This window comes from Homo sapiens, chromosome 2 (assembly GCF_000001405.40).
Source record: "Homo sapiens chromosome 2, GRCh38.p14 Primary Assembly".
Lineage (NCBI taxonomy): Eukaryota > Metazoa > Chordata > Mammalia > Primates > Hominidae > Homo > Homo sapiens.
In genome coordinates, this window is record NC_000002.12 from 229,592,855 (window position 1) to 229,616,535 (window position 23,681).

Consider the following 23,681-nt stretch of genomic DNA (forward strand, 5'->3'; position numbering starts at 1 on the left):
TAGAGAATAAATGACAGAGAAGTGGGACCCTCACTCTCTTGTTAAAATGAGTTCACACACTTAAACATACATGGAGAGAATTCTGAATGGTAAAACGGCTACTCGTTCTGCTAATTATTCCTATCAAGCAACTTCCAACAGACTCCTGAAGGAATATATTAAGGGATTTGGGGTTGAATCAAATGAAGCTTCAAAAATACCACATTAATTCTATGCTATCACTTGGCAATTCCCTCACAGAATCTCAGATCAGAGTCAATGGATTTGTATCTGAAGAGAATATTTAAATTGTCAATAATTAATTTACAATATTCACAATCTATCAACTCAAAGTAAAATCCAAACTCCTTCTTCGGCAGACAAAGCTCTTTTTGGTCAGGCCCCTTCCTCTCCTCCCACAAACCTTCCTCCTCCCTTGTAGCCTACTGTCCTCACCCTGTCTCTCTCCATGGACTATACCAAGTTGATTCCCACCTCAGGCCCTTTGCACCTGCTGGACCCCTGCCCAGAACACTTTTTCTCCAGACGTTGCACGGCTTTCTTCCTCATCTCATTCCATCCTCTACTCAAATGCTACCTTCTAGGAGAAGCCTTCCCTCACTGTGAAATCTAAACTAATCTCTTCTTTACCCCTCTCCTACAAAAATGTGAGCTGCACGAATTCAGGTATTTTATCTACTGTGTTCACTGCTCTATTCCCAGCCTGTCCAGGAACACAGACTGTATGATGGGACTTTAAAAAAAATTGTTGGAAAAAGGAGATATGATAGATTGATCAACATTTGGAAAGCAACACGTGATGAGGGAGGGATGTGAACTTGTTGAGTCACAAAGTTGTTATCTTGTTTCTGATTTATTTTTAGGAAGGCCTTGTGGAACGGGTGTCACCCCAAGAATTATGCAACAAGAAGAAGAATTTTATTCACGTGAACAAAGGAGACATTCAAAGCCATGCTTCTGAAATCAACTTTTAAAACATCTGAGGTTGATCTAGTCACAAATAAGAATTTCAATACATGCATTAAAAAGGCAGAAATACATTTAAACCACAAGGGATCAATACAAAAATTAATTCTGAAAGTCCAAACCTCCATTGCGCAGCTTAGAGAATGACATTACTAAGGCAAGGACCACCCATCTGGTGGCCTGAGAGGCCTCACAGCTTCAGCTCCATTGCCACAGCCCACATCTGACAACCATCAGTCCTCAGAGAGGCAGAGGCCTCCTCAAAAGGGGCACTGAGCACAGCAGAAGTCCACATTCCTTCAGAGAAACCAGTTAAGCACGTGTACACACCCTTCCCACGGTAACAGGCACAACACCTACCCTCCCCAAGATAGCCGTTTTGAGTTTTCAAAGGACACTCCATAGAGTAACTTCTCTTCATGCCAACACTGAAATGGAGAAGGATCTTCTGAATCCATATCACTTCTGAGAAAAAGAAGAGCAGAGGGCCGGGCGCGGTGGCTCACGCCTGTAACCCCAACACTTTGAGAGGCCAAGGCAAGCAGATCACAAGGTGAGGAGTTTGAGACCAGCCTGGCCAACATGGCAAAGCCTCATCTCTACTAAAAATACAAAAATTAGTCGGGCATGGTGGTGGGCACCTGTAATCCCAGCTACTAGAGAGGCTAAGGCGGGAGAATCATTTGAACCCAGGAGGCAGAGGTTGCAGTGAGCCAAGATTGCACCACTACACTCCAGCCTGGGCAACAGAACAAGACTCCATCTCAAAAAAAAAAAACAAAACAAACAAACAAAAAAAAAAACAGGCAGAGGAGTTGAATGACCTCTCACAGCTACTATACTAGGAGACCATGTCTTCTGATTTTCAGCCAAGAGTTCTTTCCATAACACAGCACCACAACTTTAATATCATGTTATTATCATGCCAAAAAAAATTCCTGTAGAGAAGGCAGAAGGTAAGGGTTATATTTTTGTAAGCAATAGAAAACAAGTAGCTATTAAATGTAGGCCAATTAAGACTGCCTGAATGCTTTTTTGAGAAAAATGTATGATAATGGTAATACTCAAGGAACACTGATTGAGGACTTACTATGACAAGAACTGTACCAGGTCTCGGTATAAAATGCTGTTTAAAAAAAAAAAAAAAAAAAAAAAAAAAAAAAAAAAACTCTAAATCTGTCCTAGAGAGTCTACATCTAGTAACCTAGTACAAGCACTAAAAGTTTACATCTAGTAACCTAGTACAAGCACAAAAAGCACCTAGTCCTACCTGCTATTCACAATACTTATTTGTGCGCCTGCCATTCTGTTGGGTGTTTTACATTTCTTATTTTAGTTCATCCTTACAGCAACCCTTTTGGTAAGTACATTTGTACATTTATTATTCTATTTTACAGTTGAGGCTTAACAGTGTTACACAAATGACTGACTTTTACCCAGAATAAAGGCCAAAGTATTCACTAATTTTTTTTTTTTTTGAGATGGAGTTTCACTCTTGTTGCCCAGGCTGGAGTGCAATGGTGCCATCTTGGCTCACTGCAACCTCTGCCTCCCAGGTTCAAGCGATTCTCCTGCCTCAGCCTCCCAAGTAGCTGGGATTACAGGCACCTGCCACCACACCTAGCTAATTTTTGTATTTTTGTTAGAGACGAGGTTTCACCATGTTGGCCAGGCTGGTCTCAAACTCCTGACCTCAGGTGATCCACCTGCCTCGGCCTCCCAAAGTGCTGGGATTATAGACATGAGCCACTGTGCCCAGCCTGTATTCACCAAGTTTTACAGGCCCTCTGTCTGTAATGTGCCTGCCCTAGTCTCCCTGACCTCACCTCCTGCCCCTGACCTCCCTCACTGACTGCACAAACACTGGCTTGCTCACTGCTCCTCCAATGCTCCAGTCACTCTCCTGCCCCAGGGCCTTTGCACCGGCAGTACCCTCTGCCGGGAATGCCTTGCTTCTCAAGGCTGCTCCTGAGCCACCTTTGAGTCTTTGCTCCAATGCCATCTTCTGATGAGGAGCCTGCTTAACAGAGCAAGGTCTCCAGCCTCTGTCAATGTCAACTCCTCTTTCTTTTTTTCAATTTTTGTTTTAGATTCAGGGAGTATGTGTGCAGGTTTGTTACCTGGGTATATTGCATGATGCTGACGTTTGACCCTTCTTTCCTTGCTTTTTTTTTTCTAAAATATCCATCATCTTCTCACACAAATTTTAAATTATTTAATACATTCATTTTTTTCTTTCCCCACTAGAATGTAGGCTTTTTGAGGTCCAATTTCTGTTTTCCGTTTAATTTACTTGTGTATCCACAGCCCTAGAACAGTGCCCAGCACATGGGAGCTGCTGGATAAACATTTACTAAATGAATGAATGAGTGAGTGAATGAATGTGAATGATGTTATATACACGCAGCTGCCAGAGCCTATGAAGTGTACTGCCTTGTTAAATGGAATCAGGATTCTCCAAGGCCCAGTCTCAGGTCTTGAGAACATAAGTCAAGGCGGAGCCTTAAATGTCCCACTGTGGTGTTTTAAAGTGATTAAATAACTTTAAATCTGCTTTAAAAGGAGTAAAAGCTCTGTCGACCTGAGAGGTAAGACAGAACCAGCACAACCTGCAGCCTCAGCCTTGATGAGGGCAGGAAGAGTACAGACCCACTTCACAGGTGGCTTTCAACACAGTGAGCCAAGCCACCTTTCTCTGGTCCTCGGAGACCATCTCTGGGAGCCACTTTGTGAAGCCATTCACCCCAGTGGGAAGTGTCAGAGGTGCTGGTTGATGGAGCTGAGTGGCAAAGGGCAGGTCCCATGGCAATGTTCAATTTGCCACATCCAGGAGTCAGTCCCACCAGGTAAGGGGATAAAGAGCCAGAAAGAAAATATGATGAGAATCAATAATACCCTAAGTGCTCTTGTCTGAGCTTCATAGATGAGAGGAATGCACAAATAGCATGTGGGATGAAACAATGAATGACTGACACGGAAGGCCAGGAGAAACACTCTTAGTGAAGAAGAGAGGACAAAAGCTAAAAATTAAACAGTCAGTTGCATAAATTTCTAAGGGGATTCAAAGTAGTGGATAATGTGATGGAGTGTGTATGCACACACATGCACACGCACATGCACATGCATGCACATGCACGCATATACATGCACACACCTGCGCACACACATGCACACGCACACATATACATGCACACACACATGCACACGCACACATATACATGTACACACATGCACGCACACACAAATGAACACAAACATGTGTGCACACATGCACACACACATGCACACACACATGCACACACACACAGGAGTACGAGGCAGAGAATTAAATGCATTGCAGGGTCATTGGGCCCTTTTTAAAAATAATTTTATCCCAATGCTACTTCCTTGGCGTGTATATTAGTTGTTTCATTAACAATGGCAGCTTTCTGCCATTATTTTCTCTAACTCTTCAGACTAGTTTTATTTTTTGGGAAAGCTATCTGTTTCAATTCATAACAGCATATATAAGATAAGGTGCAATCATTAACTTTTAAGCAAATCATAAATATTTATCTTAAGTCCTACGTTTCTGTATACAGTCAAGATTTTTTTAAAGTTCGTATTTGTATTTTATCTCATTAAGGAAAAGGTCCTGTTGCAGAGGTCGCATCTGCTCTTGCGTCCCATTAAATCTGAACTATAAGCAGGTAATAACCAAACTGCCAAAATGCATAATGAGGCAAAATATCAGAATTAGTAGACCTAACTTTGGGAATGCATAAAATGTAATACATGATATTTTCCGAGCTATAATTTCTAGATTCTAATGATGGGGAAAAATGATTAAGCCTTTGTAATACCAGCTATAATAAAGAGGAAAGAGAAAGCCCATGGGTTAATGGTCTTCTGCTTACAGTGAACCAACAGGCCCATTTATTAAATGCCGTGTGCTTGCTGCATCAGATCAATTTATCTGCTTAAGCCACATTTTTTCACATCATAGAACTAACCTGAAACTATTTTCCACATTTTATTTTAGACTTTTCACCCGTGTCAAATAATGTCTACTCTAACCAAGAGCAGTTCTGGGGGAATGGACTGAGTAAAATGGGAGGCCAGACCTGAGCGAGGGTGCCAGCCTCTCCTGGGACTTGTGATTCAAAGGCAGTAGCAGTGTGACCCTTTAGCCATGGCCTGTTTTTCTTCCTTAAATTCTCTGCTACCCATGTTTCTGGCAATTCCCATATCCTCTGCGGCGTACAAACAGAAGGACGAAATGCCAACTTTAAAAGGCATGAAAAAGGCCCATTGATAGGGTCATTAGATATAGTAAGTCAAAGCTAATAGGGTTGCTCGAAGTGTGGACACCTGCATCAGCATTACCTGGATGATGGTGGGGCCTGGGGAGACACAGAGGTGACTAACTTCCCTTCCATACTAGTTTAGAAAATGTATGGGCTTCAGCCCTGCCTCTTCTGTACTTTTACAGACAACTCAATATGGCCACTCAGCAATTCATGTGACATTTATCAAGCACCTATGATGTGCAAGGCAGGATGCCTATAATAGGGGTCAGGAAGATGAATAAAGCCTTACCTGGCCCTTGAAAAGCTCACAGTCCAATAGATGAGTCAGAGACGTTAACTTGGACTTGCCCTGAGCAGTCGGCTCATCAATTGCTTGCCCTGCTGGTATGCATGTCAGCTATTGGGATCCTTTGTTTGATTGAGGTTACCCACCCCAACACCTTTATGTTAAACTACCTTACATTTTTTTAATGCTGAGGGAGAGAATGGATCTGATCATAGCAAATAGGAAACGAAATTATGAGCAGGTGTTGGGACCAGTCTCTTTTAGAATGATAGCGGCAGCTTTCGGCAAAACAAAGACAGCAATTCTGGATGCCTCCACCAAGAAGAGGTGGTCTGGGAGTTTTCCAATGAGAAATGGAGCCAGCTGAGCAAGCAGTGCCCTGGCGTTGGCCCTGTTCTTCACAGGTGGGTGGGACAAGTTGCTCACCTGCTCTGGACACACACCCCTCACGCATTAAGGGAGGAGCTGGGTTTGCATCTCGAAAGGCCTCCTCCAGCTTGAAGACTTAAGATTCTATTGATAGCCACTAAGCTTGATGGCAGTTTTCAGAAGGTTCAGGGAAGAACCGAGCCGACCAGAGGTCAGCTCCTCCAATATTATACCCAAGCTAAGTGGGCAAAGGCATCCAGGGGGAATGGGACGGTGCTTGAGGAAACCAAATGTGACAAAGCCCCAGAGGAGAACTTACAAATTCTGGGCAGTGGGTGGGGAACCACTGTCATTATATGACCCAGCACGACGCTGGCCACAGAGGGGACACAGGGGACTCGTGATACTTACAGAGAAGTGGAGAAGAAGATAGAGGCAAGGATGGGAAAGAACAGGGGGAATTTGTGTATGGTATTAAGAAGGAAGTAAAGTGGACCATTACGTTAGTAATTTGTCTGAGTGGCAGAATCAATTTTAAAACTTTTAATACAGACTTTAATAGAGATATTAGTATTAAAGGAAGAGGGAGTGTCTTATTAAACAAAGAACAAAAACAATAGCCTTAAAGCAGGTTTTCTCAACATTGGTACTTTTGACACCTTGAATTGGATAATTTTTTTTATCACTGGGGGCTCCCCTGTATGTTGTAAGATGTTTAGCAGCATGCTGTGTCCTTACTCACTAAATGCCAGTAGAATCCCTCCTTCCAAGTTATGCCAACCAAAAACATTGCTAACATCCCCTGGGGAAAGATCATCTCTGATTGAGACCACTGCCTTAAGGGAACAGTGCATTTCACTCCATCAAAATTATTTTTAATCATTGCAACTCCATGAGTAAATTTAAAATGCAACACTATCATGAAGGAAGAAATGTACAACATACTATAAAGGACTAAATCCCTTATTATAGAAAGAATTTTTAGGATAAATACAAGATAAATGCCTCAGCGAAAAGGGCAAAGAAATAAACAAGCAATCTACAAAATAAACAGTCTACAGAATCATGCCATTTTATACAATCTTAAACACAAATAAAATGTTATGTATTTATTTGTATGTATATTTACTGGAGGATGGAAAGGAGGGAGGGAGGAAAACAGAAAAGGAAAGAATGAAGAAGGGAAGCAGGTAACTAGAATGGACCATTGTTTTAGTGATTTGTCTAAGCAGCAGCATCAGTCAGGGAACTTTTAAAACACAGATTCCCCAGCTCCAGGCCATTCATCAGAAACTCTAAAGGTGAAGCCTAGAAACCTGGATCTTTCAACATTTCCCAGATGATTCTGATGCACCTGGCCCCAAAACCAAAATTTAGAAATTGTTAGTACAAATTAGAGGTTGGCAAATCACAACCACAGGCCAAATCTGGTTTGTTTTTTGTAAATAAAGCTTTATTGGAATACAACCACAGCCACCTGTTTATGTGCTGACTGCTTTTGCAATACACCAGCAGTTGAGTACTGACAACTGAAAGCGCCTGGCCCACAAAGCCTATATGATATTTGTTATCTGGCCCTTTAGTTTCCCAGTCCCTGATCTAGACAGTACAGACTTTGGGGTTCACAAAAGAGGGAAAACAGGTAGGTGGGGGTCACCTGGAAAGACTTCAAAAAAGAAAACTATCTTGAACTGGGCCCTACAAGTTTGATAGCAATAACATCTATTTTCTCCCCCCATGCAACTCCCTAATTGGACTGGTGTGCAGCAAGTGATTAAATAACAGAAGAACCTTTGGCAAAACAACTTAAAGGACCAGATATTCTTTTAGTCATAATTATGTGCAGGAAGGTTGCAGAATAAATCTTGGTACTATGAAAAGAATGCTCATCTAGATAGTCCACCTTGAAGCAAGAACACAATGAAGGGTCATACCCCTACCTTTCCTTCACTAGAAGAAATATGGAAATTCTCCCTCTACCTTTCCATCCATCAGCTGAACTAAATGGAGATGAATGATGAGCAACCCATGCCAAGGCTAAATATAGAACTAGGTGGACCCATGGAAGACGATGGATGGGGAAAGGTCACACAGACTAAGGGGATATTGAAATAGCAGGAGAGTGACTCTGTCTGCCAGTTGGAGAGGGGGACTACAGCAAAGATGACTCCAGAATTTATAGCTTAGGGTTACTGGAGAAATTAGAATGAACAATTGCCACCTGGAGGTACTGTGATATGGGAGAGAAAGACTGGGGTTCCAGTCTCATTTGCAGGTGATGTTGGACAAGGCAAGAAAGCTTCCTGGGGCTCAGCACACTCAACTGTAAAAGGAAGGGATGGGACTAGAACATTCTAAAGGCGTTTAAGTTCTTAATATTGTGTTTCTATGTCCAAAACAGGAATTGCAGTGGTTGTAAATGTCATCTTCCTTCTGAAACGCAAATGAACAATGTTGGGGTCCAACTGTCACAGTATTTTTGTCTCAAAAAGAAATTTTTCCCACCTTCTTCAATAAGGATTTCAACTATATTCCAACACCAACTGCTTACTCACCAGGAATAAAGATATAAAAAAAAATCACTATAGTGCTTATGCCAGTAGTAGACTCAGCCAAGAAATGCATCCCAAGATTTTTTTCCCAAATCCAAATAATAAAAATGCTCATTCGCTTTACTGAATCAAGAACTATATGTCTTAGTGAAATACACATTCCATGTTTTGATAGGTCTTTACTTCTGTATTAGAAACTCTACATCAATTCAAAAAATTATTCCAAGACTAATTTGGTCAGTCCATTATTCCCTCAATTCTGAGTCAGCTTTCTTGAAACCAGCTTGTCCTGATTTTTGTATGTGAGTTGAGTCACATTTGTAAGTAGGCTAAAAGGAAATTATAAGCAGAATTGAAACGTGGCTATAAAATGAATCCATTAAAAATAAACTCTTACATATTGTTTCCCTACTTTTTCATGCTGTCTCTTTAAAACATACTGCATTTGGAAATTACCTTGAAATCTCAAGGTAATTGCTTTAGTCTGATTAACACATAGTGATAAGTCATAGTGATGAATCTATAAGCCCTGCTCAGCTGCAGATATATCAAGAATTAAAGGAATTGTTCTTCAAAAACCTGATCTTCCCTTTGTCCCTTGGTTTCCATATTTAACTAAGTCCTAAGAGATAGCACTCAATTGCACTTACTGACATAGGCACACCAGCCTCAAATGAAATGCTTTTTTTTTTTTCACTTTTAATCATTCAAAGACCAATTTCTTGAATAAAAAAGTTGCAGAACAATTCCAGTGCACACATTTTTGTTTCGCCTCTCATCAGAGACACTCATACATCCTATCAAACTTTTTTACAAAACCACAATGCCATCAATACAGGAAATATGTCGACTTCTGCCTCTTTCGTACTCAGGAAAAGAAGGCTGCAGGCAAACTGGGAATTAAATTTCCTGTGAAGATTGTATGATCATCTCAACCAATGCAGAAAAAACTCTTATTAAATTTAACATCTAGGTAGAGTGAAGACTTTTAGCAAACTAGGAATAGAAGGAAATTTCTTTTATCTGATAAAGAGTATCTACAAAAAACCTTCAGCAAATATAATACTTATTGGTGAAAGGTAGAACAGTTTCTCTCTGAAACTGGGAAGAAAGCAAGGATGTTTGCTAATACCACTTCCATTGAGCACTGCACTAAAGGTCCTACACAGTGCAATGAGGCAAAAATAAAAAGAAAGTATAAGGATCCACTAAGAAAATAAGCTGTCAATTACAGACTGTATGATTATTCATGCAGATAAATTATTAAAATATGGAACTTCAGCAAGTTTGCTGCATGCAAGATCAAAATTTACCAAAAAATAAAAATATTTTGCATCTCCATGTATCAGCAGCAAACTAAAGATCCTTTTCTCAAAGGTACAGTTTATAATAGATGAAAAAAATTAAATTCCTAGTAATAAATCAAATGTTAAAAATGCATGATCTCAATGAAGATAATTGTAAAGGGGGAATATTCCAGTCATGAATTAGAAAACTTGATATTAGAAAGACTCAAATTTTTCTTAACCTACAAGATTCAATGCTGCTACAACAGAAATCACAACATTTGTGTGCTTCTGTAAAATGGCCCACGATAGCACAGACACGCTTGAATAAGAACAATGTGGGAGGGCTTGCTCTATTAGAAAGCAGGAATTTTAAAGCTATGGTAATTAGGATAGCATGACACTGGCAGAAAGATGAACAAATAGACCAATGGAACAGAGACAAGAAACAGAAAGGATCACACAGGGACACTTGACTTCTAGAATAGAGTCTTTTCAATAAACTGATATCCAATGAGAAAAAAATGAAGACTTTTCCCTCTCTCAAGCCATATGCAAAAATAAACACCAATTGGATTGTAGATCCAATTGAAAGGTAAAAAATTAAACTTCAAAAAGATAATAGAAGAGAATATCTGTATAACCTTATAGTAAACAAATATTTAATAAACAGAACACAAAGAGTACTAACTATAAGAATATTAATATTAAATGACGAGTTAATGGGTGCAGCACACCAACATGGCACATGTATGCATATGTAACAAACCTGCATGTTGTGCACATGTACCCTAAAACTTAAAGTATAATAAAAACAAAAAAGAATATTAATGAGCTGGATGACAACAGTTATAGTATACTGATAAAATATACTATACAGCCATGAAAAAGAAAGAACTATAGCCTTATACAACAAGTAGAACAAATTCCCCAAACACAATGTTTTTTCCACTTGTGTAAAGAATATAAACAGCAAAAGTGACCCATGCTTGAAGTCAGAAGAGTGATTAGCTTTGCAGAGCTGAGAGAGGTGGGGACGAGGAAGCTGCTGGAGGGCAACATTGTCAACCTTGATCTGAGTGGTGGTTACACAGGTGTTCATTTTATGATAATACATTGAGCTGTACATATTTTGGGGGGGTGCTTTTCTGTGCTTTGCAAGTTTGTGCTTTGCAATTTTTGTGCATATTTTGTGCTTTGCAATTTTGGAAAATTGTTTTTAAAACACCTACCATATACACATATCTGACATACTCTTTGTTCCTTGGTTGTCATATTTAAGAAAGATGATGAAACTAACTTGCCTCTACCCAAAAGTAACCATAAGGTTCCTTCCTGATTTTCCTCCCAGGTAAGAATGGCACACAGATTCCAGAGTGACTCTCCCTCCAGCACCGCGGCCACATGAAGCCACAGGGACCAGGAGGGCCAGCAGAAGCCAAAATCCAGCAGCCTCTGTGTCCTCCTAATGACTTTGACCTTCCTTCTAGAAGACACAGAAAGCCAATGAAACATGCCAAACAGGGGTGGAAACTCAAGTCAGAGTAGCACTTTGAAAAGAACTTTCCACTTTTGTTGGGGACTCCAAAGACAGGGACTCCAAACATTTTAAATGTTCTCATTTCTTTATTTTTAAATAGGACAAATGACATGCTCTTTATTTTTAAAGAATAAATAAAGAACAAATGACACCAATGTGGGGTAGCAGGGAGTTGGAAAACCAGGCACATAGTAGGCTCTCAAAAAATATTTCTTGTCTGAAACAAAGAAGAGACCCCATTGCTTTCTAAATCATTCTTTATTCAGAGTATTCCCTACCAGGAAGAGTGTTCTTCTGTATCTGTTAGGCTCGGTGGCCTGGGATCCTTAAGAGAAGTTGGAGAGAGAAATCTATGAGTGCCTGTGAAACCAGGTGCAAGAGCAGAAAAATCAGGGTCACCTTGTTTAGTAAAAGTCGGGGGAGGCTTTGGGTTGATCCGCCAAGTGCCAAGTGTTCTTGTGTACCTGCCTGGCTTCTTGACTGCTTTGATGTGTGTTTTTCTCTCTGCAGGCACACAAAATTCCCTCTGCTCTCTTTTCAGCTTTTCTAACCTTACTTGGAAACAGCTGCTCTAATTTTAATACCCATCTGCTCCCGGGAATAGGACAAAAATCAGTGGCTCTGCAGATAACTCTAAAGTCTTTGGGTATCCAACTTCATTTATCTGGAGATAAGCCTTCTATATACAGCAGGCTTCATATAGACAGCTACACTAGGAACAAAACTAAAAAGGAAAATGAGGAAAAATTCAAGCAAAAGAGCAGGTGGCCCTAGATATCCAGTACCAATTGTTTTAAAATCAACAAGAGCCAAAGACCCACAAATTGCACGTGTGTTCAGATTGTCTCATTGCAAGATTAAAAAGAGGATCTTTGATTGGCTAGCAAATCTGCTCAAAGGCCAGGGTTGTTTTATTTTTTTTTCTCCATGAGGAAGCTGAGAGGACCTTCGTAGTTATGAAAGACAAAAGAAACAAAAGAAAAAAATAATAACAGAACAAAAAACAGGGCTGAAAGTGGAAGAGGTCACCCGTAAAAGCCCTACCAACTAGAAACAGTCATGGATTGTGAAGCAGAGAAACAAGGATGGTCACAACAGAGACGGGAGTTTCTGCAGCCTAGGAGTTCAGACAGGAAGCAAAGGGATGAGGGCAGAAACCCACCACCACCTTAATTCTGCAGCTCTGTGGACACTATATATAAGCTATACAGGGAAGCAGAAGAAACCTGTATAATTGTATCTAATGAAGCAGTATGGCAAAGGTACTGTAGCTTTGAAGACACTCTACAGTACTGATCATTCAAATTATCTCTTTTAAATGCAAATATTTAGCATTTCCAATTAAGGCATAACATTAGAAGGCTAGAAGAACCCACTGGGAAAACTGTCAGAAAAGTATATCCATAATGGCTTTTCAAGCTAACAATTTTTGAACACAGAGCATCCTCTGAACTGTTTTAGAATGTTGATGAAATCAATCCCATTTAACAATGCTTGCCATGTTGAACTATGTGAATTGTTAGTGTATAAAGATTATAGACACCATAACAGCCTGGGCAACATGGCGAAACCCCATCTCTACAAAAAAAAAATGCAAAAACTAGCTGGGCATGGTGGCACACACCTGCAGTCCCAGCTACTTGAGGGGCTGAGGAGGGAGGATTGCTTGAACCTAGGAGGCGGAGGTTGCAGTGAGCCAAGATAGCACCACTGCACTCCAGCCTGGGTGATGGAGCAAGACCCTGTCTCAAAAACAAAGATCATAGACACGTGACTTACCTTGCATATGCAAATGCCATAGGCATCCATACAACAGAAACTTCGATGGAAAATTTCACCATTCAAGATTTTAATTGAACTGATGGCCAGGCCCTTCTCCGGTGGAAAAAAAATTAGATAAAATTAAAAATGCTTTCATTTGGAGGTAAGCTTTAAAAAGGGGTGGAAGAAAAGGGGGATCCTCAAGTTTCAGGAATGATTAGAAAATTCACAACCAGAGAACTTAGCACATGATGACACTGCATTGACCACACAGCCTACAGAGCTGGAAATAAGACCTACAGTTCTGGGAATTGGGGTTCTAAAAATCACATGGGAGTGTTCCAGCTCTTTTAGAATCTGTCTAGCAGGCTTTCTGGTTTTTACAGGAAGGCCCCTCTCACACACACACACACATACTCAAATGGGGCCTTGAGCACAGGAAAGGAGAGGCAACTATAACTGAGCCCACAAATGAAGCCTCTTAGAGCCTCCTGTCTGTTTAGAGAGAGCAGAAGGGACACTAGAGAAATCCACCAGCAGTCCCGAGGTAACAGCAGAAAAACTGACATCTCTACAGTCTTTGGATTAAAAAAAAATAAAATTCCCATGAATAATTAAAATCTCCCATATGAATGTCCCCTGTGATTAACAACATCTCCTTCATGTGGACATCCTAAACCAAAAATTAACATAAAAAATGTGTTTAGGGCCAGGCGCAGTGGCTCACATCTGTAATCCCAGCACTTTGGGAGGCCAAGGCAGGAGGATCACTGGAGGTCAAGAGTTCAAAACCAGACTGACCAACATGGTGAAACCCTGTCTCGATTAAAAATGCAAAAATTAGCTGGGCGTGGTGGTGCGCTCCTGTAATCCCAGCTACTCGGGAGGCTGAGGCAGGAGAATCGCTTGAACCCAGGAGGCGGAGGTTGCGGTGAGCTGAGATGGTGCTATTTGCACTCCATCCTAGGCAACGAGAGCAAAACTCCATCTCAAACACCACCACCACCAACAACAACAACAACAAAAACGTGTTTAGGATCAGTACAGAAGTGGAGTGACACTTTTCACAATACAGGACACATGGGACTCACGCACATGCCTGTGTACACACAGACTCTTATCAAATCAGCACACAGCAAAAAATTACAAACCATACAAGGAAATAAGCCACCATCAGCACTTGGAACTGTGGATAAACGGTCAACAAAACCTTTTCCACTCCTGCATGAATATATATTTATGCATTTTAAGATGAAATAAGATGCTTAAAGTAGATCTAAAACTTTTTTTTAATTCCTCACAACTTCTTTAATTAACTGACCTGATTAAACTGTCCTGATATCTTTGATAAGAAGACTTCTACTAAAGATATTAATAGCTAAGATTTCTGAGTGCTTATGCTATATCTGGCATGGTTCTCGTCGTGCTCCCTATGTTAATCCATTTAATCTTCACTATCACCCTGTGAGGCAGTTACTGTTATCTGCATATTATCTCTGAGGCTCAGAAACTAACTTGTTCACGGTCCTTCAGCTAGTAACATAATGAGAATACTAATCCAGGTAGAACAGTACAATTCCAATCAAAATCCCATGCTTCTTTTTTGTTTTCTGACTTATCAAATTGATCTAAACACAAATGAGAGATGAAAGGACCAAATATTTTCAAGATAATTTGAAGAAGAATAAAGATACATGCTTTATTCCCTCCCAGAAATAAAAATTTATTATAAATCTATAACTACATTGAACAATGTTTCAGATGAGAGAGCACAGAGATTTGCCATGTAGAGAAACTTAGAATATAACAGGGAAGGCATTAACAATTAGTGTAGGAAGGATGGGCGCGATAGCTCACACCTGTAATCCCAGCACTTTGGGGGGCCGAGGTGGTCGAATCACTTGGGCCCAGGAGTTCAAGACCAGCCTGGCCAACATGATGAAACCCCACCTCTACTAAAAATACAAAATTAACCGGGCATGGTGGTACATGTATGTAATCCCAGCTACTTGGGAGGCTGAGGCACAAGAATCGCTTGAACCCAGGAGGCAGAGTTTGCAGTGAGCCGAGATCATACCACTCCACTCCAGCCTGGGTGACAGAGCGAAACTCTGTCTCAAAAAAAAAAAAAAAAAAAAAGTAGTGTAGGAAAGATCAACTTTTTAGTAAGTGATACTTGAATAATTGCTAATTGCTGACCCCTGGGACTGACATAAATATCTAACTTATACCATACATCTACACACACAATGAATTCCAGATGGATTTTGTAGGACAATGTTAAAAATACGACCTCAAAACTTTTAAATCAGGAGTTGACAAATTACAGCTCACAGACCAAATGTGGCCCATCACCCAATTTTAATAAATCAAGTATTCTTGGAGCACAGTCACACCTGTCAGTGTGTCCATTGTCCAAAGCTGCTTTCCCACAGTTGAGTAGTTGCAACAGACATGTGACCCACAACGCCTAAACTATTTACTCTCTGGCTGTTTGCTGAAAGTTTGCTCATTCCTGCTTTAGATGAAAATATAGGACAATATCTTTCTGACATCAAGATAGAAAAGAATCTCTTAAATAAGACTCATAAAAGGTGAATAAATTAAACCGCATGAAAATTTAAATGAACTAGAGCTATATCTGAAAGCCACAGACAAATCGCAGAAACACCATAGTGAGTGGGAAAAAAGCAAGTTGTGAAAGGATCCTGCAGTGTCATACGTCTGTGCACATTTTATGCCTATATTGTAAAAATATTTTAAGAGATGAAAGCTTACAACCCAACTTGGAAGAATCATTGTTTCTGGGTAGAGAGGGAGGGAAGTGGGTTGGGGAGGAGTAGGGTAGTGGCAGTGAGGGTGGCGGGCTTTAACTGTATTTGCCTGTTTTATTTATTTATTTTTAATAATTGGAAACCAATATGGCAGAATGATGTTTGTTGAATCTCAGTGGCAGATGCTAATTATACTATTCTCCATTCTTTCTTGTAGGTTTAAAATAGTTCATAATAAAGATTTTAATTAAAAATGTGATCTTGGTCGGGCACAGTGGCTCACGCCTGTAATTGCAGCACTTTGGGAGGCCAAGGCAGGTGGATCACTTGAGGTCAGGAGTTCAAGACCAGCCTGGCCAACATGGTGAAACCCCATCTCTACTAAGAATACAAAAATTAGCCGGGCATGGTGGTGAGCACCTGTAATCTCAGCTACTTGGGAGGCTGAGGCAGGAGAATCACGTGAACCCAGGAGGCAGAGGTTGCAGTGAGCTAAGATCACGCCACTGCACTCCAGCTTGGGCAACAAGAGTGAAACTCTGTCTCAAAAATAAATAAATAAAAATGTGATCTTCATCATTCAAGCACCTTCTCTGTTCCAGGCATTTCTGTAGCCCAGGGGCTGGCAAATTCTGACCCACAGGCCAAATCTGACCTGCAACCTGTGTCTGTACAGCCTATGAGGCAAGAATGATTTTTATGCTTTTTAAAGGTTGGAAAAATCAAAAGAAGGTTAATATTCCAAATAATCATGTAAATGTTCGATAAGATTCAAGTTTCAGTGCCCATCAATAAAGCTTTATTGAAACACAACCACACTCATTCGTTTTACATATTATCTGGCTGCCTTCACATGGCAACGGCACAGGTGAACGGTTGCCACAGAGACCTTGTAGCTCACAACGCTGAAAATATTAACTATCCGCCCTTTACAGAAAAAGTTTGCTAACCCCTGCACTAGGCCCTGAATACATGCAAAGCCTCTGTTCCTAACGTGCTGGTGGAGGGACACAATGACAAACACCATAGACACAGCAGCAGTGTCACACATTGCTGCTTATGTGTATGACCCAATGCAGGAAAAGGCAAGGACGATTTTCTTCTGTGGATTGTACATTCTACTTTTTATAGCTTCAATAAAAATGGCTAAATAATTGTGGAGCTCTCCCAATGAGGCAGGAGTAATGTCTGGATTGTAATATTTTTACTATGTTCTTCTTCCCAGAATTATATCACTGATTCAGCCCATTGGCTAGAAATATTCAGAATGTGAAATTTTATCACATAAAAGTTTTTGCCATGAGAAAAATCAATCCATCCTGCAAAAATTATAATAGGAATTTAAATAACAGCATAACTTTGCAGATGATTATTTTAATGTCATTTGTGTTTTAAGTTCTGTTTGACGTAAAATATTAACATTGTGCCCTGGTACCATTTGTTTTGACGATGGAAGATTTTCAGACTTTGGAATAAGCCATGCCCAATAAACCTAAGCACAAGTTCTGAAAATAAACAGGAAGGATGAGTGTCCTTTATCAATGAAGAGAGCAAATGACACAGAAAAGGGAGCATTTGTGGCCCACTGTGTCGTGCTGCAGAAATCTCAGGAAACACTCTCAACGGCCTCACAGCGCATGGACACGGTAGAAGAGAACGGTTTCCTGGAAAGTAGTAAGTTCACTTAGAAGAATGTTATTCAGAAAGCAACTGTTCCACATTCTTAACTGAGACCCGCATTCAGATGGCCAGTTCTATCCAGCGGGGAGCCTGCAGCTGACGTTCATGAGGATGGCTCAGGGTCATGGGAACACCATCATTGGGTTTGCATTTGCTCCGTTTGGCAATGCGCAGAAATGTGTCATTTCCTCAACCGCCGACAGTGTACTGGAAGATCAGTCACCAGGACTGGGTTCCAGTCTGCGGTCCTTTCGTGATACTTAGGCATCTTAGAGAACGGTAAGAGCAGCTTCATTTGGCAATGCTCAGAAATGTGTCATTTCCTCAACCACCGACAGTGTACTGGAAGATCAGTCACCAGGACTGGGTTCCAGGCTGCAGTCCTTTCATGATACTTATGCATCTTAAAGAACCATAAGAGCAGCTTCCAAGTCTGTCAAATGCCAATATGGCAATGTGTACGCTGCTTACATCCACAGTTCCCAAACTGTGTGCCAAAGTGCTATGGGGTGCCAAGCTGAAGGCACAAGGCACCACAGATTATATTTTTTAAATTTTCAAGAGAAACACAGGATCTACAACTTCTGTCAGATATTTCACAAACTACTAGCTAGAAGTAGTTCATTGTTTCAACATTAGATCCTGTTACATTTTGATGATACCATATCTTACCAAAGCTGGGTTTTTCAGCAATTACTGGGATAAGAAAAGCAAACACTCCCTGAAAGTCGATGTGAACAGGAAATGAGGTGATCAACTGAGCAGCTGTATAGTGCCCCACAGGCACATAGTCCCAGCAGTATGTAACTGCAATTACTTAAGAATAAAGTAAATGTATTTTTTTCTTTCAATTTATGTGTTATTTTTTTCAAACAGCTACGAAGTCATTTGCACATAAGTTGTTGGGATCCAACTACTTAATAAAAAGAACCATTAGCAATGCCTTTTGGCCTGAAGCACTATAAAAAATTTACTGAGATGCTAAGGCCACCAGGAACCAAGAAAGTTTGGGAATCCCTGGCTTACATGAAAACAGTTGTTGTGACACAACACATTAAAAGTTCTTCATAAAATGGGTCACTTTATAAATTACATAAGAAGTAAATTTACAAAGTTCTGCCACTTAACAATTTTAGAAATCTCAATAATCAGTCCTTATCTTCTAAAAGAACCAAATAGCTGGAATTCCAGGAGACCAGTAGGCAGACCACAGACAGAACAGGCTTATCGGCAAATTGATTGAAATCAACTAGGTTGGCAAAGCATGCAACTGACACAGCTCTGAAAGATCCCCCAACCACTCCAACCTTGTGAGGTTTCACCTTCGCTTTACAGAGAAGGAAACCAAAGTCCTATGGGGTTAGATGCAGGTTTAGGGTCCCTAAGTGACAGAGCAGAACTCCAACCCAGTTCTTTGAACCTGGCTCCACCAGCCCTTCCTCTAAGACGTACTGACAGGAAATCATAAATAACCACCTTGAAACCTTCGTCACACAGTGTCGGTGGGATGTTACACCGTCTCCATAACCACTCAGTCCTGAGTCTCTTTGAAGCCCTTTTCTTCGATATGCAGGTAAGGAGTGTGAAGCTTTTGCATTGGTAGCCTGTCACTTTTTGTTATCCTATTGTTCCTATGTTTTAGCAGCTGATCAATCACAGCGTGGATTAAGGCATTAGTTGCAAACTGAAGTCAACCATACTCTGGAGTCAAGCGCTGCTAGAGTCAAATCCCAGCACAGCCACATAATACCTCTTAGTCCTTAAGGAGTTAAAGTAACTTCTCAACTCCTCACTTTTTGAATATTTGAAATGGGGATAGTACTTTCTTTGAGGGACTGCTGAGGATTAACAGAGAGAATCTAGGACTTGGGTACAAAACTCTGATCGGTGGAATTGGGATCTCTGGTCACCCACATAAATATCAACTGACCAGGCCAGAAAGGCTTCAACTGAGTCCACTGTTGGGGATCAGACATTATGGGCATTCTGGATACACTGGGGGACCCTGGTGGAAGCCTGACTGTTAAAAGGACAAAACATCCCAGAGAGAGATTTACTGTAAAGGGGGAAGGCATCTGGTAGAGCCAGCCACAGCCAGTAAAGATGCCTCAGGTGAGGGAGAACAGCTCTGGGTCCAAAACTTCCATTGGTATCAGACTTAGACTGGCCCAGCTGTGCGTGAGAGCTGTCCACAAAGAGAGCTGTCCCTCGGAAGCTTGCAGCTCTATGATTCCAGAAGCCTCGCTGCGGACACAAAGCTGGGTGGAACATGCTGGGCTCACTGTTTTTTGCACTTTGCCAGAATGGCCTGGAGTTACCAGGCTATTTGGCCCAGGTTTCGCTTTGACCAATAGTAGGCACAATGAGCTCCAAACTGGTTATCTTTGGTCTTCTGACCTAACATCTAGAGTCTGTGATAATTTTATGAAGGACTCAGTTATTTACTTTCCCTATCACATCTACACACACGGGGAGAGAGAACTGGATGAACTAATAAAAAATCTTAAAGTGACAAGTTCTATTACTATGTGGTAGAAAGCAAGAACGTATTCCAATATACAAAACTATTTTGGACCAAAATATGTATTTGCATATTTCAGGCAAATGTACAAGTGACTTGCTAAAATAAAACAATAGCTTATCTCTAGTTAAAATTCAATCGCACTTGCATCCTCATTAAAACATTCGCATTGTAAAATGTCCAACATGAGATACTGTTATCAGTATCTCTATTGTGCCCAGCTCTTCAGGGAAGATTTTCAGCAAACAGCCATTAAAAATCTAATTTCGCTGAATAGAATATAGATTAACGGCCAGTTCATTCTATAAATATTGCTTCTAAAAACAGAAGTTTTGCTGGTAACAGAAAAAAATAAAATCCAAACAGCAGTACCAATTACTACAGCAGCATTTTTAGTAGTTTGGCAATCAGTATGAACCATTGTAAAAAGCAAAATCAAGCATTCAAGCATGTGGCTGCCAAAGAGCCAGATCACCTGAATTACAGTCACAGCAAATTTAATTTATGAACAATAACATACTCAATGCATTGCGTAGAAAATAAAATTCATGACAAATTTTCATATAACTGAGCAGTGCTATGAGCGTTGAAAATAGGATTTCCAAAACTAAAAGTAACCCTGTAAGGCAAATATTACCAACTCCATTTCAGAGGTGAGACATCTAAGACTTAGAAAAGTTCACAAACCACAAACATAATATATGGCGCAGGGAAGAGTCAATGCCAGATTGTTTTTACTATACTCTACATTTCCAAAAAAAAAGAAAATTAAGAGCTAAGTTTCCTGGGTATTTTTTTTTTCTTTACTTTAAAGGAAAGACGTTACTTTTACTTTAAAGACATTTCATTTACTTTAAAGACATTTCATTTACTTTAAAGGAAAGACAGTTTGAGCTGGGTGAATCTTAGCATACATTCAGAAACAAGTAACTACATAGAGTATCAAGCCCCCAAATCATTAGTCTTTGTTTCAGCCACCCTTCATAACTGTTGAGTTTTAAATTCCTTTTTTTTTTAAACCATCATTCTCAGCAAACTATCACAAGGACAAAAAACCAAACACCGCATGTTCTCACTCATAGATGGGAATTGAACAATGAGAACACATGGACACAGGAAGGGGAATATCACACTCCGGGGCCTGTTGTGGGGTGGGGGGGAGCGGGGAGGGATAGCATTAGGAGATATACCTAATGCTAAATGACGAGTTAATGGGTGCAGCACACCAACATGGCACATGTATACATATGCAACAAACCTGCACATTGTGCACATGTACCCTAAAACTTAAAGTGTAATAATAATTAAAAAATTTAAAAAAATAATAATAATAAAATAAAAAATAAAAATAAATAAATTCCTAATCATGCGTGCTAATTGAAGGACATCATGGCACAGACAAGCAAGTTAGGAGTAAGGCAAAAGTAATTTTGTTTGGCACTGAGCAGAGTTTGAGATTTACATCTGAAGATAAGCATCTAAAAATTCAAGATCCATCAGAAAAAAACATGAAACACAAAAAGATGGAATGTTCGTTTCTCAAGTCACCCAGCCTTTCTGAAGTCCTCTACCATTGGGAACAAGTGAGAGTAGCTCCAAGCCCAGTCTCCTGGCCTTAACTCCATCCTCCTTCCCACCCTGTTTCTGGACTCTCCTACAGGACGTTTTTATTAACAGGGTCATAATTTCCTGGGACAAGGAGGTAGCTCTGTATGCCCCAAAGACTTTCTTGCAGTTCTTCTGGAGCTAGACAGGGTTGTCTTGAGGCTACAGAATGAGGCAAAGAACAGAGCTATGAACCCGGGCATAAGAGACTGGGCTCCAGCCCTGCCTCCTCTGCAGACTGGACAGTGACTCTGAATTGCATCTTCCTCATATAAAATCTAAAAGACCAGTGCCCACTTTCCTCATGGCTGGTTAGAGAAATCAAAAGTACAGTGCAATATGATATTAGGTGATTATTTTAAAGTTGTATTAATATTTACCTCCCATTAACCAAGATACAGTCACTTGAAGTCTAACATTCTGTATGTATAGTTGCTTTTATTTGCTAGGATTAGGAACTAATCTACGAAGACTTTATCTACTAGGATTAGCAGTAACATTTATCACCAAAGTTTCATTCTTAGAAGGGTAAATGGGAATTTACAATAACGACATAGTCAAGGCAGGGAAGCTGGTGACACCTCCCCACCCCCACTCAATGATGCATTTTTCAAGTCGTCCAAAGGGTTTAGAATTGTTCTGTAGAGGCCGGGCGTGGTGGCTCATACCTGTAATCCCAGCACTTTGGGAGGCCGAGGCAGGCGGATCGCCTGAGGTCAGGAGTTTGAGACCAGCCTGACCAACATGGAGAAACCCCATGTCTACTAAAAATACAAAATTAGCCAGGCGTGGTGGCACATGCCTGTAATCCCAGCTACTCGGGAAGCTGAGGCAGAAGAATCGTTTGAACCTTGGAGGCTGAGGTTGTGGTGAGCCAAGACTGCACCTTTGCATCCCAGCCTGAGCCACAAGAGCAAAACTCCGTCTTAAAAAAAAAAAAAAAAGGCCGGGCGCGGTGGTTCACGCCTGTAATCCCAGCACCTTGGGAGGCCGAGGCGGGTGGATCACGAGGTCAGGAGATCGAGACCATCCTGGCTAACATGGTGAAACCCTATCTCTACTAAAAATACAAAAAAAAATTAGCCGGAAGTGGTGGTGGGCACCTGTAGCCCCAGCTACTCGGGAGGCTGAGGCAGGAGAATGGTGTGAACCCAGGAGGCAGAGCTTGCAGTGAGCAGAGACCGTGCCACTGCACTCTAGCCTGGGCAACAAAGCAAGACTCTGTCTCAAACAAAAAAAAAGAACTGTTTTGTAGAGGACAAAGTGTCACATTTCTGTAGTGGTCATCCCTTCACTAGGAGACTAGCGGCAAAAAAAAAAAATCTGTCTAAAGCTATTGCAAAGCAAGCAGCCACAAGAAGTGAGGGTAGCTAGGATCCAGCTAAGAGTCTGGGTTTCTGAGGGTCTAATTCCCCAGGTAGACATGGACCTGCATGTAGGAATCTGAATGATAAGGCCAGCGTGGCATGGAATGCTTTATCAAAGTTTAAAAGTGAAGGAACCCCTTTTACTGGAAAACAAGTTTCACAAACACCCAATGTTAACCTCCATTAAAGTTGTTACCCAAATAGATACAAGTATATTTTTATTAAAAACTGCAAAACTGATAAACTTAAATTAATATAATGTGGTAGAAAATATTATTTTGCTGCAGCTAGTTGGTTGCTCATAGGTGACCATGCTCATGAAGTTTCTCTGGAGTGTGCCCACTGATGCTACTACCACGGACCACCACGGGCTATGGGGCCACCATGGGCCGTGTGATGTGGAATCCTCCCACATCCTCTCCTCATTCAACCCACCTTGAAACTTTTGTCCTATGGTTCCATGTGACTTTGGGCCTTCACTTGGAGCAAATACATCATTTACTTATTACTGATTTTTTTTTTCTCATTGGCCAACTCTATGATCAACCCAAACAGGCCTTGTATCTCAGAGTGGTACTCAATCATAAAGTGGTCACTTCTGATCTAGGGTGATGATAACAAGAGAGCACACGAACATTACACGTTTTCTCAGCCAACTCACAGACCTCCCTGAGAATACACCCAC

The 23,681-nt window shown here is 40.8% G+C and overlaps 1 protein-coding gene, 1 long non-coding RNA gene, 1 other non-coding gene and 1 pseudogene across 3 annotated transcripts in view; 2 read left to right on the forward strand and 2 right to left on the reverse strand.

Moving 5' to 3' along the window:
* Positions 1-23,681, reverse strand: part of DNER (delta/notch like EGF repeat containing) — a 356,927-nt gene that overhangs the window by 235,226 nt on the left and 98,020 nt on the right. The gene's annotated exons all lie outside the window — the stretch shown is intronic.
* On the forward strand, positions 13,285-13,545 carry RNU7-9P (RNA, U7 small nuclear 9 pseudogene; annotated as a pseudogene).
* On the forward strand, positions 13,384-13,445 carry LOC124906135 (U7 small nuclear RNA). Its single transcript, XR_007088704.1, has one exon. It is a non-coding gene; the product is annotated as a U7 small nuclear RNA (small nuclear RNA).
* LOC105373923 (uncharacterized) lies at positions 17,337-21,070 on the reverse strand. Its single transcript, XR_923980.2, has 2 exons — positions 18,980-21,070; positions 17,337-17,487 (listed from the first exon to the last, which is right to left on the reverse strand). It is a non-coding gene; the product is annotated as an uncharacterized LOC105373923 (long non-coding RNA).